This window comes from Homo sapiens, chromosome 13, assembly GCF_000001405.40.
Source record: "Homo sapiens chromosome 13, GRCh38.p14 Primary Assembly".
Taxonomy (NCBI): Eukaryota; Metazoa; Chordata; class Mammalia; order Primates; family Hominidae; genus Homo; species Homo sapiens.
In genome coordinates, this window is record NC_000013.11 from 63,021,443 (window position 1) to 63,040,474 (window position 19,032).

Sequence of the window (19,032 nt, forward strand, 5' to 3'; positions counted from 1 at the left end):
GTACACGTTAGGTCTCCAGAGCTTATTCATCTTAAATTGGAAGTCTGTATCCTTTGACCAGTATCTCACTATTTCCCCAACCTCCAACCCCTGATTGCCACCTATAAATTAAATTTTTTTGGAGTCCACATATAAATAAGATTATGCAGTATTTTTGTTCCTATGTCTGGCTTATTTCACTTTACATAATTTCATCCAGTTTCATCTTTATTGTTGCAAATGGCAAGATTTCCTAGAAAAAAAAATACCTAAGTCCTGGAAACAACTAAGTTTGTCTGTCTATGGACAAATAAGTTGAATTTTTAAAACGTGGTTATAGATATTTAATGGAATGCCATTCAGTTTTTCTTTATTAAAGATAAAATAAATTAAAAAGACAATATTTGCATGTAAAACCCAGATATTCCTCATTGCTTACAAAATATTAAGTAATTGTTTAAAAATGTTTAATGTGCTGCTGACTTTTTAAATTTCTGCATAAAACATAAATATTATATTTGAAGGTAATATAACTCATAGAAGTGAATATTTATAAATGCATATAGTTAGACCCATGTGATCAAACATACCTATAAATGTAAAAATAGGCATAAGTATATATACAAATACACATAAGGATAGTAACTTTCTTTGTTGCTCTCATTTTTTTTGTTGTTGTTAATAAAGAGCTATTGGTGCTAGGCTTAGAGGTTCAGGCCTATAATCCCAACACTTTGGAAAGCTGAGGGGGAGGATTGCTTGAGCCCAGGATTTCAAGATTGGTCTGGGCAACATGCCAAGACCCAGTCTCTACAAAAAATAAAAAGTTGAAACATTAGCCAGGTATGATGGCATGAGGCTGTAGTCCCAGCTACTCAGGAGGCTGAGGCAGGAGAATTGCTGGCACTCAGGAAGTTGTGGCTGCAGTGAGCCATGTTTGCACCAGTGCACTCCAGCGTGAGCAACAGAACAAGACCCTATCTCAAAAACAAATAAATACATACATATAAATAGCCACTGAAAAATGTTTCCAAAATACTGATTTATGTATTGAAAAAATTAAAGATGACTCTTTATTTTGAGTTTTAAAAAGTAAAATGATAAAATCTATGTTGAGTTTATCAAATAACCCAATGATGTTGAAAGCACCTGTTAAAATGCTGTGTTATATAAACAATAACCATTTTAATTGAATGAATTTCCAAACATGGCCTTAATATACAAAATATTTTTTAAAAATTGTGACTGCATCTAAATAATATGCATTATATATAAAATTATTTTTAAGATACCCAGAGAGAAAAAGACAGGAAATTAGTGGAAGATAGAAAGGATAAGATAAATATATGAGAAATGAGAGGGAAAAAAAAAGTGGAAAGGGAAAATATGGAAAATTTTCAAGCTAAAGATATTGAGTCAAAATCTAGACCAGCAGTCTCATTTCAGAGTGTGAACAACAGCTAACAAGTGGCATCAGTAACACAGCTGTTAGTACTTGACGAATCTACTGAATAACTTCTAGTGTGACAAATTAGAATTAAAGAAAACTGTCTAGTTGTAACTGAAAAATCAGCACTGTAACAATATAAGAGCAGGAACTTTTAAAAAATCTGCTATGTCTTTAACAAAAAATGACAAAATAATCATAATTAGCATTAGTATAAACAAAAACAAAACAGAACAGGATTTTAGAGCAGCAGTCCACTTTCATAGGAAACAATAACAATAGGATTAACATAGTGTTGATGTTGTTTCAAAAAACTCACTATATGTAAAAGAAAATCTCTAAACATCTGGGTGATATCCCTCATCTTAAATTCTGTAGTTTAATTAAGACTCTTGGAGGGCCCTTACCTTATCTCTTCAAAAATAAGTGATATTATTTTAGATAACTAATGAAGTTCATAGCAGATATTATACATTCTTTGCTGGTAGTGATTAGTTTGAAGAATGCTTGAAATATGTATCTAAGAAGTGTATTAGAATGGAAGGTAGGAGAGTTTTTGTAGGACTTCAAGTTTGATTTCAAATATTCCACAATCTCTTAACACTTTTGATTTAGTACCTCATCTCATCAGGCATAGTCAGAATTCAAATTCCTGTGTGCCCCACAACTCCCATTCTAAATATTCTCAGGCAAGCATGATCCAAGGGTGCAGTTTCCAGTTTCAAGGTGACCAGCATTGCAGGGCCTTTATGTTTTGTTCCACTAGAAGACTACCAAAAGAGTGCTATATGTGTCCTCACTATCTTACTGAGCTTTGGTGAAATACTCCTCATAATGTTGAGTTATTGTCCTTCTGCTCTCAATTTTCTTATACACTCTTCTAACAATCACTAAACCATGAAATACATTTGAGTGATTAAAAGCCAGGATCCTGGCAGGAAAGAGAATTCATCACAAAGACTTGCAACAGTAGAAGTTAATAACACCCAAAAGGGACAACAGGAGGAAAACAAGGACCAAATATTCCAGTCCTCTATACTCTTCTTCCCCTTTATCTTCTTCTGATGCCTCCTTTTTTGTCAAACTTAACTTGAAGTCTGCTGAAAACTAAGCCTGAGAGATGGAATCTGCAGAGATTAGCATCTGGACAGAAGGATGGAGCATGTATATGAGAGGCAGAGAAAGAAACAGAAGCAGAAAATCACTATTTTTTTCTGACAATGAAGAATTTTTGCTTTATCTAACTCATTACCCAAAGTAGAGTTCTTTTCCAGGAAGCTATTTAATTACACATATCAATAGTCCTCTTTGCCAGATATAATCCAAAACATGCAAACTAAAGTAGAAGTACAATATGCAAGGTATAACAAAACAACAAAAATACCAAGTGAAAAGAACTATGACTGAGTCAAGGATTACAGAGAAATAAGAAAATATCACTTTAAGGAGTCAAGGGAAATTCATAAAGTATTGGAATCTTGAAGGATTACAGAGTTAGATAAAGTACCACAAAGGGGGAGAGTGTAAGAAAGGATAATAATCTAAAAAATATAGATGGGTTTTAATAAGATTTAAATGTTGGTTACATGGAAGAAACTACGAAGAAAATGATAGCTCAATTAAGCAAAAGGAAAGTCATGGAGAACCATTTACACTGAGATAAGAAATTTTAATTTTAGTTTACAGAAATTGAAATAATTGAATCAGGAGAGCGGCATGGTTAGCTTTCTATGACAGAAAGACTGCTCTGTAAGAAATACAGAGTTTTGTTTGGAAAGAGGCCAACTGGACAACTGGAGGCTAAAAGCATCCTAGGCATTAACAATCTGGGAGAGCGATGTATGTATAAATCACAGATGTGAAAGTGAGCATGAAAAAGGGGGCCATATTTTATGTGGGACAAAGTTGAATCTGTACCTATTATTTCTCAGAGTAACTACTTTTACTTCTATTGACTAACATCTATAGAACACTTTGTTTTCAAAATATGTTGGTGAGTCTCTAAATAGATCTACACAAATGTTGGCAGTGCTCATGTGAATTTAGGGTGAGGATTCACTGGTGAGAGTATTTTTATTTGTGAGCATTTTTATTTATTGTTTTCAGTGACAACTTTTATGAGTTGTTTACTGGGACAAAAATTATCTGAACTGTAAAAAAAATACAGATTTTGTCTAACATCCATCAGGGTTGTTACCAAGTGTATGTAAACTGTGGAAGCCCTTATCTTGGTGAATAGCTTAAAACAGGCACTTGATAAATGTTTCCTTCCACCGTGCTTTCTTCCATTACTCCGAGTGGAACCTGCAAATGCCTAAGTCTGCTGAGTTATGCTGAAAGAAAATAATACTTGAATTGCAAAAAAAAAAAATGTTCTGTATAAGTTAGAAAGCTATTTTGTTTAGTTTTCTGTATACACTCATATATTTACATAATCAGTGTTTACCAACTTCCATCATGTTTTGTGATGTGTGGATATTAGATAAAAATATAGGTATATATATATGTGCATATAGGTATACATATATTTACACACACATATATAGAGAGAGAGAAGTGAGCAATACTTTTCATCTTTTATGTAAAGATTGCAAGACAGTGTTATTTTAGTTGAATAAACTGAGGCATTTATATCTTCCTGTTTATCAAAATAATACTCTATTGCCATATTGGCTTAGCACAAAACATAAAAACGTAAGATATCTTTTTCTGCCAACCTATTTCACAGAAGCTCATTTATCCATTTATTCATTCACAGATTGAAATATTGAGAGACTTTATGCTAAACCTACAAAGAAGCTTTTCTTTAGAAAAATATATTTCAGCAATTGCTTAGTAATGTAGATCAAGCTGTAAATATAACATGCTCACTAGAAATATTTTGTTTAAGGGGAAAACAAATATTGCATACCTTTTTGGGTTGTTCATTCAAAAAACCAAAGTAGTGTCTGTTTAGGGAGGGATAAGTGGATTTTCTATTAAAGGGACTTTTCAACAAAAACAGTAGAAAGGAGACCTTTCATTTGAACAAGTCTTTATAACAAACAACACTTTGTTCTCTTAGTAAGAAAGACTATTTTCTTCTCAGGAACCAATACCTAACAACTAAAAACAGAAGATAAAGATGTATTGTTCGGAGCAATTACACTGGTAAGAAACATGAATAAAGACAGTGGCTCTGTGTCATTTTCAAACACATCTCTTGAGCAAGAAACCAGAAACACTGTAGTTATAAGGCTTCAAAAATTGAAAGTAGGACATTTAAAAATATGTAAATCTACTCTTCTGTTCCACTTTTATCTTGAACCAAAAGATTAAGAATAAATAAATCAAAGCAACTTAAAATTATAAGTTCAATACCCAAAATAAATATTTTCATTTTAAAATAGTCAAAAAGCATGAAGTGAAATAATTACATAATAAAATTGAAATTTTTCTAATACGTATGTTTCTCTAATTGCATAAAATAGACTATTCAATTTTATTTTTAAATTTTTCCACAACACTTGTTTCTTTCTATTATACTACATGAGATATTTGTTTCTTACATATGCTGTTGATTTTCTCTGTATCTCTACATCTCTATTCATTATCCACCTAATCTTCATTTAGGCAGACGTATTTTGTCTGCTTTTTTCTGACAATACTAGATGCTATGTTAGTAGAGCCTGGTGATTGATTCTGTGTTAGGCTTATGGTAATTAGAAGGAATTAATGGTGACATCTTAGCTTCTGGTGGTGTGTGTTGCCATTTAGCATAACTTAGAATGCCAAAGAAGGAGTAAGGTTTCTTGGCAAGACAATGACTTGAGCTTTGGAAGCTTGTATCTGTTGTTCTCGTGGCTCATCTAATTGTAAATGTCTAATACACTGTTTAAAAAAAGTTTTCTGGGTCTCAGAAAAAAAACCCCAAAGTCTGAGCTGGGCAGTATTGGATGAAGTAAAGTAAGTTCAGATATTGAGATTTGTGTGAAAATAAATTAGTATATTTTAAAATAAAGTATACTAATACATCAAAATATTTGCCTAGGCTTCATTAGTCTAAATATTTGATCCATGAAGGAATTGATTGTGTCTTGTTTACAATTGTTTCTCTGTTTTTATATATAGGAACAAAATTGATAAATGCATGTTGAATAAATAAATGTGTTAGGAAATGAGTATCAATGCTTAGGAGTTATTTTGTTACCACTCAATCTTTAAACATATTTTGTTTTTCTAGATAGGAAACCTAACTCAGGTTAGCACATTCTCATATTCATTCATTGGGCATTTTATATTAAAGCAATCTTTTTTTTTTTTTTTTTTTGAGATGGAGTCTCGCTGTGTTGCACAGGCTGGAGTGCAATGGCTGGCACGATCTCAGCCAACTGCAACCTCTGCTCCCCCCCGGGTTCACACCATTCTCCTGCCTCAGCCTCCCGAGTAGCTGGGACTACAGGCGCCCGCCACCACGCCCAGCTAGTTTTTTGTATTTTTAGTAGAGACGGGGTTTCACCATGTTAGCCAGAATGGTCTCGATCGCCTGACCTCATGATCCGCCTGCCTCGGCCTCCCAAAGTGTTGGGATTACAGGCGTGAGCCACCGCGCCTGGCTGTTAAAGCAATCTTTACAAGTTCTGATAATTTATACAAGTTCTGATATATGGCTACCCAATGCTAGTCCAACCCAGGGCCAGAATTCACTGGCTGCTGCTGCATGTACTTGCTGAAACCAGATAAACTGCCTTTTTATTGAAAGTATTATAGAAATCAATTTGGGTTTATTATCACATATTTGAGGCTTTTTATCTGTGCTATAACAACAACAACAACAAAAAAATACGGGGAAGGAAGCATGGACAAATAGTAAATTTAAAGATTAAGCAGAAGGTATTTGTTTTATTTTATTATGAAGTCTTTCTGGGGACCTCAAATTAAAATAAAATTTAATGTAAAACATTTGTTATCATATTAGAGTTCCCAGGTATGGAAACATTGATATACACACAAATCACGAACTAACTCAGAGATTACTCACTTAACTTTTATTGCATATATTATACAGCAAGGACTTCTCATGATCTTAGCCAAAAGGCCGAGAAGCAATAAAGCAAGGACTTAAAGTAATAAATGCATAGTTAATTTTATATCTACTATCTGTATTTCTCTCTTCAGCCAAGAATGCTAAGAAGGTAGTCATGTCAATTGTGGAATCTACTGTGTGATCTGGCAATTTCCTCTTTAAGAATTGGACTTTAACAATCAATTAGTTTCAAAGAGGCCAGTAAAGATCCAGAGGTTCTAAACACAGAATATTGCACATACTAACTAAAATTTTCAAAGATTGCCTAATAAAATTGTCTTAAATCTTGCTGAAGAGAACAACAGTTTCCTTTGATTCAATTATCACCTGAAATTATTAGTAGTGCTTTTCAGAATTGTTATCACTCTCTTCCTGACAGAGGAGGGCACATTTATTCATTTGAGGTATCTCTATGCAGGCCATTACAAGAGAAATAGAATTCAAATGGTTGCCTTAAATTCTTTACAAAGAGACAAAATCAAATTGAATTAGGATAAGTGCACTTGAATCAAGACAAAGTATAAATAAAATACCTAAAATAATAATACCTAGACTCAAAATTTAAATCATGGCATCATGAGTAGGTAATACAGTTCTATGTTTAGCACATCAATAAGTTATTACCATATTTAGGAGCTCAGATGGGTGGAAAGATGTAATGTAACACTGTGCTTAACTATCAATCTAGAATTCAAAGTTACACGTAATTAACTACATCCTTTGACTTTGGTAGCATTATTAAATTTCATAAACCATTTCTTAATATTTTTTAAATTGTATTAGTATCATATTAATATGTAAACATGTAATACCCATCAATTTGTAGGTACCCTTATAGCACTTAATTTCATATGTCAAAATCTTGTAAACTTGGTTGTAATGACTGCAGTGCAAAAGTAATTAAGTGTACCAGACAGCGACATCTAACAGGTAGTCAAAGCATTTCCCATTGTATAATGAGATGAAGCAGAAAGGGTGTATCTTAAGACAGCGTGCAGAGCAGCCCCATATGCAGAGGAAACAGTGAGGTGAAATTTTCTTCTTTAGAGAAGTCCCAGGAAATGGAAATTTAGCAAGCTTCAGCCTACTATGTAGTACATTTTCCATAAATGGAGAATAAAACCTTATTGCTTTAACATGCTTCCAAGCCCCAGTGGAGACAATGAAGTAAAATGATACAAGTTTTGCAGCAGATTTCAGGGTCCCAGGGAAGTGGAGTTGACTGTCAGGGACAAAGCTGTTTTATTTAAGTAGGAAAAATGAATCATTATCACCTTTGACTAGAAAAATAACATTATCACCCTCACACATGGAGCACTGAAAACCACCATTTCACAATTCCACTTGTAAGGGATCTACTAAACGTCTTTTGTGTCACATGAAGCACACAGGTTTTAATTAACTCCTTGTTGTAGAAGGTACTATCACAGGTATTTGTTTTTTTGGACACACTCATGGAATGTTTCTTTCTGTAGCTACAGAAAGCCTTCAGTTATCCCATTTTCCAGCAAGATGAGGCCTTGCCTCACTTTCACCATGCAGTCCAGAGATTTCTAATGAACACATTTTTAAATATAGATGGGACACTATTCAAAAGATTGACCTGCCTTTGAAACAATGGCTTCCAGATCTCCCAGATATGTGACTATTTATGAAGATGTGTCAAGAACCTCCACATGTTTTCCCACTTCTTCCTTGCAGCTCAGAGACATTTTATTCTCTATCCACTAGTTTAATTATGCATATCTTAATTACCTTGTAGGCATTTTGTGAAATGAATAAAATCACTCCTAATTTTGTTAATCAAATCACTGTTCGTCTTTAGACAAAAGTTGTGTCCCAAAGAAGACATTTTATGCAGCTACCAAGTACTATACGCTGGAGGCTGAGTTCAAAGTATAAAAACTCTCATTCTCTAATCTTGAGGAGTTAATGATCTTGTATCTAGGCATGGGTGAGTTACTAAAAGAATGAACAAAATTCTGAAAAATTGAGCAATGAAGTATATACATCATGGACCCGAAGAAAGCACTAGTTTGATCTGCTTGATAGGATTGAGAAAGTTTTAATGTATAAGGTAGAATTTTAGCTGCAGTTTGGAAGATTAGTCAAATTTAATAACAAAAGAAGAGGTAAATGGTAATTTAACAGAATAGGATGAGCCAGATTTGTCTGTTGTTTTGGTATGCAGAGATACAGTTTAAAATCGCATGAAAACCATGCTGGTATAATGAAACTTTTTCTGTAGGCAATGTAAGATTATGTAGAAACATTTATTAGCTTTCTCATTCAATGCTAACAGGCTAGGGGTGACAAAGGAAAACACAAACCAAAAGAGACAAAGGGGATTGTTATTCTCAAGCAAAGTTCTTGTAATTGTAATTTTTGTACTTCTACCAATGTTTTCATGTGCTTTAAATTAAGAAACCTATTGTGTTGTACAACCGCTACAAATTGTATTCATTAGGAAAACCTACAATTCGTTGTGGTTTAATGTGTTTTGTTTTATAATTGTTGCTAAAATAAAATAACTTTTTACATATAAAAGAAATTTTTTATATTAATAAATATCTGTCTAGTCATATTAGGAAGAATAACAAAATGAAAGATAGATTTTGGTTCAGGAAAACTGGGCACACCTGGGTTTCAATACCAACTATTACTTCCACTTGCCATGTGACCATGTTCAAATTATTTAGGCATTTTAAGTCTTCTTTTTCTCAAGTCCAAAACTGGTTTAAAATTTTTATCTCAGATGTTGTTAAAACTTAAATGAGATAATGTAAGTAAAGTGTTTGGAAAAAAATACTACTTATTAAACTTTGTTGCAATTTATAAGCTCATGAAAATATCTTTAATATAGAGGGTGACTATCATTCTTGTATTTAGCATTATATATATTGCAATTTTATTTCCCAGCTTTAGGAGAAACTAAAGCATACTAATATATATTGAATTTCATATATATATGTGGAATATATAGATTGATTGATTTCCATATATGTGTGTATATATAGAGAAAGAGACAGAGAGAGAGCAAGAGAGAAAATGACAGAGAGACAGAAAAACAAAAAAGTCTATGACCTGAATTCTGCTATAATTGGTATAGAATACAAAAGACTTAAGCAATTGTACATTACTGTTTCCTTCTCCTCACAAGAAAAATTAAATTAAAAAATTATACTCACTTTAAGATCTTATAGTTCAATTTTAACAATTTTTTCCTTTACTTGAAGTTATCATCTTTGAAATTCAATATTGGGGCCCCTGTTGTCATATTTAAAACTTTGGCAACAGGCTCACAATCTTTTTCTCAACCTTAATTTATTTTATAATCTTTGTTGAAACTTCTAGTGAATGACGCATCCAATTACATACCTCTGTTCTTGAACCTCTTGTTTCTAATAACTATACCTCACCATCATTTCAGATACCTATTCCAGGGGCATATCTTTTTTATACCTATCACTATTTTAGCTGGAAAATCAGTCATGCAAATATTCAATTCCTTAACTCCTTTACTTTCCACCTTACAGCTTATTTGTTCAAATACTCCTACTCTGATTTTATCAGAAGCCTTAATTTATTAAGCCATAGGTTATCCCCAATTTCAAAAATCCTCTTCTTAGTATGATTCTTTTTTCAGCTTATATTCCATGGCTCATAATTCAATAAGACTTTTTACATTATTCTAAAGGCCCATGCTTTATTTCTTTCCATTATACTAATCTGAAGAAAAAGCTATCTGATTTCTGTCTATATAAAATATCAGGACACATTATTCCTACTACAAAATGATCATCCTAAAATTGAAATAATCCCTCATCACTTCAATTCTAGGCAAGATATCTGGTCAACTAATCTTCATTCTATTTCAACTCTTTCAAAGATTGTTCATACACTTCAAAATCTATTTCTATCTTTTCTATTAGACATGTAGTCATTTTCTCTGAATATCAAATTTATATACATACTTTTACATTTGGATGCAATCTGTCCTGTTATAATAAAGTAGCTGTTTCTTCTGCTATCTGATCTTTGTATTGAATTACATATTTTCTTGTCTCTCAAGAAAATTATTCTATCAATTCTCTCGTCTCTCTCTGTCCTTCTTTTCACCCTGTTTATTTTCTTCCTTTGAAGCTTCCTGAGACATACAATCCTGTTTTACCTTCTATTTCCCCAGCATATAATAATGCTTATCAATTACAGGTAATATACACTTTCATTTAGTAATAAATGCCAATATAAATAATTTCAAATAAGATACTACACTACTATAAAGTAGGAAAGTTTAATTGAATGTTAATTCTGTCTTTCAAGAGACTTATGTGTGTGTTCATTAAGCATCAGTTATTGTGAACATTGCACAGATTTATGATTTCTTTAAGAATTCTATTTTAAAATTGTTATTGTGATTAAATAAGTATAAAATAAAATTTTCTATTTTACCTTCTTCTCAATGTATAATTCAGAAGCATGAGTTGCATTCACAATGTTGTGAAACCATAATCATTACCTATTGTTAAAACTTTTTCATCACTCAAATAGAACTTCATAACAAGCAGTAACTTTCCATTCTCTCCTCCCTTAGCCTCTGGGAACCTCTAATCTCTTTCTTCCTCTATAATTTTATTTGTTCTAGATATTTTATACAAGTGTGTCAGAAAATATTTGTCCTTTTATGTCTAGCTTTTTTCATTTGGTATAATGTTTTCTAGGTTATACCTGTTATGGCAATACATCAGAACTTCATTCCATTTTCTGGCTGAATAATATTCTACTATATGTATACATCACCTTTTGTCCATTCATTCATTTGTTGATGAACACCTGGATTGTTTTCATCTTTTGGCTCTGTGAATAATGCCACAATGAGCAGTGACATACAAATATGTGAAACTTTGTTTCCATTTTTTGGGGGGTATATAACAGTCTAAAATTGTTTGGGTTATATGGTAATTCTATGTGTAGCTTTCTGAGAGACCATAAAACTGTTTTCAACAGTGACTGCACCATTTTACATACCTGCCAGCAAGGTTCAATTGTTCCAATTTCTCCACATCCTTGCCAACACACATTATTTTCTTTTATTTTATTATAGCTATCCTAGTAGGTATAAAGTAGCATCTTATGGTTTAGATTTCCCTAAAGACTAATAATACTGAACATGTTTGCATGTGCTTATTTGTATATCTTCTTTGTATAGATGTTTATCATGTCCTTGGGTCATTTTATAAATTGGGTCATATGTTATTTTGTGGAGTTTTAGGAGTTCTTTCTATCTTAGATATTTAGTTTCCATAAGATATGTGTTTTAGAGACATTTTATCCCAATCTGTAGCTTTACTTTTTCACTTTCTTGATAATATCCTTTAATAAATAAAATATTTTAATTTTGTAAAGTCAAATATATATATTTGACTTTCAAATTTATATACATACTTCTACATTTGGATTCAATCTGTCCTGTTATACATTGCTTTTGTTTTATACATTGCTGCTGTATTATACATGCTTGTGTATTATACATTGAGAAGAAGGTAAAATAGAAAATTTTATTTTATGCATATTTAACCACAATAACAATTTAAAAAATAGAATTCTTAAAGAAATCCTAAATCTGTGTAATGTTCACAATAATTGATGCTTAATGAACAGGTACATGAGTCTCTTGAAAGTCAAGTGTACATATATATTTAATTATATATATATATATATTTATATAGTTACTCATGCTTTGGTGTCATATGTAAGAAGCCATTGACAAACCTAAGGCCCAGAATATTTATGCCTATGTCTTCTTCTAAAAGTTTTATGACGTTAACTCTTACATTTATGTCATTGATTCATTCTGAGTTAATGTTTTATATGGTGTGAAGTAGGAGACCAGCTTCATTCTTCTCAACGTGGAAGTCCAGTTGGCCCAACACCTTTTGATGAAGATGCTGCTTTTCTATTATAGACTTGTCACCCTTTTCAGAAATCGGCTGCTAATACACACATAAATTTATTTCTGACTCTCAAATATATTGAATTGATCTATATAACTATCCTTATACCAATCTCAAATGGTTTTTATCAGCGCTTCTTTGTAATAATTTTTAAAATTTAGAAATTGTGAGTCCTCTAAATTTGTTCTTTCTCAAAATTGTTTTGACTATTTGGATCCCCTTGCAATTTCACATAACTTAAGGATCAGCTTTTTGCATTTCTGCAAAAAAAAAAAAAAAAGGCTGTTGCAATTTTGATATGGATTGGCTTGAATTTGTAGATAACTCTATGTAGTACTGATGTCTTAAAATATTAAGTCTCCGACCCCATGAACACGGGCTGCCTTTCCATTTAAATAAGTGTTTAATTTTTTTCAGCAATGCTTTATATTTTTCAGTGTATATTAAAATGTTTATTAATCTATTTAACTTTCTTGGTTAAATTTGCTCTAAAGTATTTTAATGTTTTGAATGATATTATAAATTGAATTACTATTTACATTTCCTTTGCAAATTGTTCATTGCAAATATGTAGAAATACATTCAATTTTTGTGTGTTGATTTTGCACCTGGCAATTGGGCTGAATTTGTTTCTTAGTAACTATCTTGTGGATTTTGAGAGATTTTTCTGCATATAAGAACATGTCATATGTGAACAGATATATCTTTAATTTTTCCTTTTAAATTGCGGAACCTTCTATTTATTGTCCTTGCCTACTTGCTCTGTCTAGAACTTCCAATAGAATGTTGAATAGCAATGATGAAAGTGGGCATCTTTGTCTTGTTTCTATCTTAGTGGGAGACTTTCATTTTGACTTTGGGTACAATTTAAGGAGGGGAAAAAAAGGAAAAACTGCTTCTTAAAATCTCTTAAAACAAATTTGCTAAATATTTTATTACTGATTATGTTTAAATGATGTTTTATATCCTAAAAATTCAGGAACCACGTATTAAAATATTTAAAATGTTAAAATATTAGAACAGTTGCCTAGGACCAAATTTACCGAACATCAAAAGCTTATAAAAGCTCTTCATTTTATAACTTTCAGGAGGATCTCATGTATCCGAGTGGAAACACTTACATTAATTGTAATACAACATCAGTTGTAAGTATTTTCAAGTTCTTAGCAATTTTTGCTGATAATAGATCTTAACAGATATTTCAATTTTTTTTGTTTTGTTGCTCAGCGAATAATCATGTATAAAGTTATCCTCACTTCATTGTTAAAGATTAAAATAACTGAAATATTATCTAGGCTTTTATAAAGCACATTAAGATTGCATGCAATGCACTAAATTAACAAATATTATTTTTAAGCTATAAAAATAGGTAAAATGATGTAATAAGGGTATCTTAGAGAGTCAGTTGCTTTTATACAAACAATAATGAGCATAGCTGAATGCGCTGGTTCTCTGAATCCATGATAAAAATAATAGATTTTTATCTTATCCATGGATAACAATCCATGATTCTCTGAATTCACCATGAAAAAACATTTTATTAAACTTTAAACTACAAAATACATAAGAAAAAAATGAAAACTTTAGAGATATTAGATAATTAAAATAATTGAAGGCTCTCAAATTCACTAAGCAGTCTTAGGCATTAAAAAAACAATGGCATGATGCTTTCAATTAGATCAACAAAAGTAAACAAAAAAATAACGTGGTTTGGGGATTCACTTGTGGTTGTAATGGATAAATTAAAATATCAAAGCTAGTTTCTTCTCATTCAGAGTTGCAAACATTAAAAAACCAAAAGATTATAATAACTAATATGTTAATTAAATATATCTGTGATTATATAAAACATGTTTCTGTTTGAAAATATTGCTGAAAGTGCACAAATTATTTGTCAACAATTTATTTCCCAAATTAGAATAGTTGTATTACATTCTGAACAATTTATATGCTTTAAATGTAAAAAATCGATTGTGGTTTAATTTTCAAAATTGCCTCTATGTAAAATTCCAAAGTTGCTTATTTTCTCCTTCAATAAAATGATGTAAAGTATTGGTTCACTTAATATTATGAAAGTAAAGAGCATTGCTCACAAGTTGATTGTAGAAGAAAAACATATAGGCAGCTCTCCATATCATTGGTCAATATCATATTTTTTTAAAAGATCAGAGTCTGGAAGTATAGATGTAAAGCTGATTTCAATACATCTTGTCTTAAAATCCAGGTTATCTTAGTCACCCACTGGAACTTTCCACCTGGGACATGTATATAAATGGATCAGAGTTCCCTTGGCTGATGTAATTTAACCAAATTCTGCACATTTACAACTGACTTTATACTAAGCTGTTTGATTTGTCCTTCTTGAATATATTATAGATTATTAAATCTATTTAACATCTAATGTTAATAAGTTTTACAAATAATTCTGTATCACTTTACTCATCTAATCTAAATGTTTCTCCCATTACAAACTTAAATAAAAATACTCCAGTGTACAGCTTTACTAGAAACTTCATCAAATATCTGACCTTCACAGATAAAAAGCTGCATTGGGAACAACATAGGTTTTATTCCTTATAACAGATATAAGATCCTTTAGAATAAAAATTTTATAAGAGAATAATTTAACATATCTCATATTATTACCATAACAAGGCAACCCCTTATTAAGGTTTAAAGAATGTCAAAGGAAGCGGGATTCTTTCATTTACATTATATTGCTTAATAATTCTACAAAATAAGAGAGTATTGTATGGTCGCAGAGGTACAGTAAGAGATTTGAATATACACTTAGACAAACCTTCTAGATATAGGTAAATTTATTTAATTCTCATAAAATTACCAATGAAGAACTAATCCATTACATAACTCACTTAAATCTTTATAAATTAGCATTTTTGGTATGTGAGTGTTATTTCATATACCAAAAAATATCCTTTACAATTAATGGCATTGTTTAATACAGTAATTTCAAAAATTGATTCTCACTTATTACAATTATATTAACACTCATGGTAATTCTATGATCATAATCATGGTAAAATACTTATTGAGAACTGTAAGTTCTAGGCACCGTAGTACATACTTTACAAGTTTTCTCATATGATTCTTAAAAAAACTTAAGTGGTAGCTATTATTATGAGCATGTTTTACATATAATCATATAGGCTAAGGTTGTTAAGTATACTTTTTAAGTAACAAAGCTACTAAGTGTTGGAGCAGAGATTCAAATATCAGTCTGACCCAATAAATTGCATAATAAATACAAGTGACAAGGAACTAATATCAATATGTTTTTCAGAATGCAAGCCACAATCTATTAATAGTTCATGAACCCAACTAAGGCTCATCATCAGTATTCTTTAAAACAATAAAATTTAATAAGTTATAAATATTAGACCATATGATAATAGTAAGGATATAATTGATTCATGAATTTATTTTCAGATGTATTCTATTGATGAATTAACGCAAAACCAGAGTTAAACATTTTTACAATGCTGAGTTCTATTGACTCCATGAAAGAGTACATGCACCATTTAAAAAATTACCAAGTCATCTGCAGAAGGCAAAAAGTCAGTTTTTAAGTGCTAGAAAGTGAGAGTTCATGAATATTGTGCTTATTAAGCATTAAAAATTAGTATCCTGGAGAGGATAGAAATCAATTGACCTGCATATAGTTGGATAAAATGAATTTCAGTCTTCATTGATCAGGAAAAAGTCTTCACTTTGTGTCCAGTAAGGGTTAGTAATCTTGGGGATATTCAATAGTCATGGTCCTTTACAAGCTTTGATTGATTAATTACAGCAGTGGTAAACACAATAATCATTTTTGATATTTCATAGGGAATTGCCACTATAGGTTGTATGTTCAAAGTAAGCAACAATTTTCTTATGGTCCTTTCCTTAATCTCTGTTGTAGAGTAATGATACAAGGAACGATATATGGTTAGATTTTTTTGGTCAATACTTACATCTTGGGTTTAGATTTTTAGTGGATATGTTTTGTTTATCCGTATACCTTCAATTGCACTTTAATGCACGATCCATAAAATACTCTACTAAAACTGTTAATACCCTGATCACAGCAACAATTAATCATATTCTTTCATTTGTACATGGCTGAATCATTAAAAAAAGATCCTGCGGGCAGGTGTGTCATATTTTGGAAAACCAATTGGCTTCCTTATTAATTTTACATAGAGTCTTCTTAACCTACAATCAAGGATTTCAAAGGGTTAAATAATCTATTTACAAGTTAACAAGTTAGCTTGTCACAATTTAATGGACAATGGGAGAAGATAAAATATTTCTAGGTGAGAGACAAAGGACATTATTACTGATAATGCTGCAAAAGCAGTAAAAGCATATGTACATTCCTGTCACTTTCCCTTGCCCCAGAGTCCAGTGGGGAGATACATATGGGTTACTTTCCCTTGCCTCAGAGTCCAATGGGGAGAAACATATGGGCTCAGGTAGAAGCCAGCACACACAGTGAGTTGTGTTCAGAGAGAAGAAGCTGAGCTTTAGGGAATGTGGATCTCTTATAATGGGTAGGAAGCATATCTACCCTTCACTCTGGAAGGAGACATCCCTTCTATTTTCTAAGGCTCTTAATATGAGACAAACAGCAACATGCGACATACATGAAAAATTTTCTCTCAACACTTACCTTGGAGCATTTATCCAAACAAAAACAGGAGACTAGATAGTATAGAAAATATTGTGATAAGTAAATTATGTTTTAGAATTGTGAATAAAGTGATTCTGTTGTTCAGTATTCTTGCAAGAAAAATGTGCAAGAAATTTTGTTGAACCTGTATCGCAGGGACAACATATGGCTTCCTTTGCTATGATTGCTTCTGTCATAGAGCTTCTATGCAGTATTCAAATATAGGAGTATCAAGGCCAATAAAGAAAACTTCTCAGGAATCAGCGGATACAAATATTTCTGATACAGCCTGAAAGTTTTATACTTCAACAGGCATGTACATAGATCATGTGAAATGCTACCATTATAGACTTACCAACATTTCAACAGAGCATATAAACTCTTTTAAGATAGCAGACTTATTTATCTCCACAATCAATATTGTGGTACAATATATCTTGGTGCATACATATGCAAGTCTTAAAGAGCACAATCTATAGTTTTTGTAGTTATCTGAGGAAACTGAGAGTTGTTTTAACCAAATAATTCTAAATTCACAGCAGGACAAGTATAACTTGTTCAAACAGTTCAAGGACATTTTTTTCTTAATTAGTTGAGTGCAAATACGTTGTTAGTGATTTCCTGTGATATGGAGCCATTGTCAATATTTTAAGCTATCTGGCTTTATAGAAAGAATATTATATTTCAGAACTATGATATTCATGTCATATAAGAAATAAGGTAATAACAGTCATATGCCATAAAATGATGCCTATTTTAACTAAAGATTTTTTTAGCTAAAAAAAATTGGTTGCTGAAAAGTTTGAGCCTGGAAGAAGTAATTACCAATGTTACTAATGTTGGGCTGATGAGAAAATAAACTTCTCTGGATGAACCTTATGAAAACTGTAGTTGTAATAATTTTAGCAGAATATTACAATAATAGAAAAAGTATGACAAACTCAACAGCTTAACTTGTGTAGCAAATTATACCTGCCTTGAATCAAACAAATTATTTGTTTTTTTAAACACCTTTATTGAGGCGTAACTGATATACAAAAGCCTTCACATATTCAGTGTGTACAATTTGATGAGTTTGAAAATATGCATACACCTGTGAAACCATCGGCACAATCAAAGTAATTTCTGAGAGGTAGCTGCTCTCCCATGTATACTACAGCATTATTTACAATAGTCTAAATATAGAAACAACCTAAATGTCCATTGACAAAAAAGAAGATAAAGAAGTTATGATATGTCACCAAACAATGGAATATTGTTCAGGATTTAAAAAGATGAAAATGTCATCTTTTGTGAAAACATGGATGCAAGTAGAGGACATCATGAAAAGTGAAATAAGCCAGTCAGAGAAAGACATATGTTGCATGATTCCACCTATACAGAATATCTAAAATAGTCAAACTCATAGAAGCAGAGAGTAGAATGGTGGTTGCCAGGGAATGGGTGAATAGGGAAATGGAGACTTGTTGCTCAATTGATATAAAGTTTTGGTTACCCAAGATGAAAAAGTTTTAGAGATCTGCTGTACAACATTGTGTTTATAGTTAACAATATAACATTTAGCACTCCAAAGTTTAAGAGGATACATTTCATTTTACGTGCTTTCACCATGCCCACACACACACTCAGACTTGTGAGCATGCAGCGTGCAAACACAAAAGACGGTAATTCATCAAAATGTATATATTAAAATGTGCAGTTATTTTTATATCAATTATATCTCAATAAAGACTTAAAAAGAACAAGATAACATATTAGATACTAGAAATTTTAAGAAAAAATGTCTTTTTTACAATATTTCTTTAGCCTCATCCAATTTGCAGCAAATTTGAAGTGACAATTATTCGATAAAAAATCATTTTTTAAGACTTACTTTGATTAGTTATATTTATAGAAATTTAATATATTTTTACAA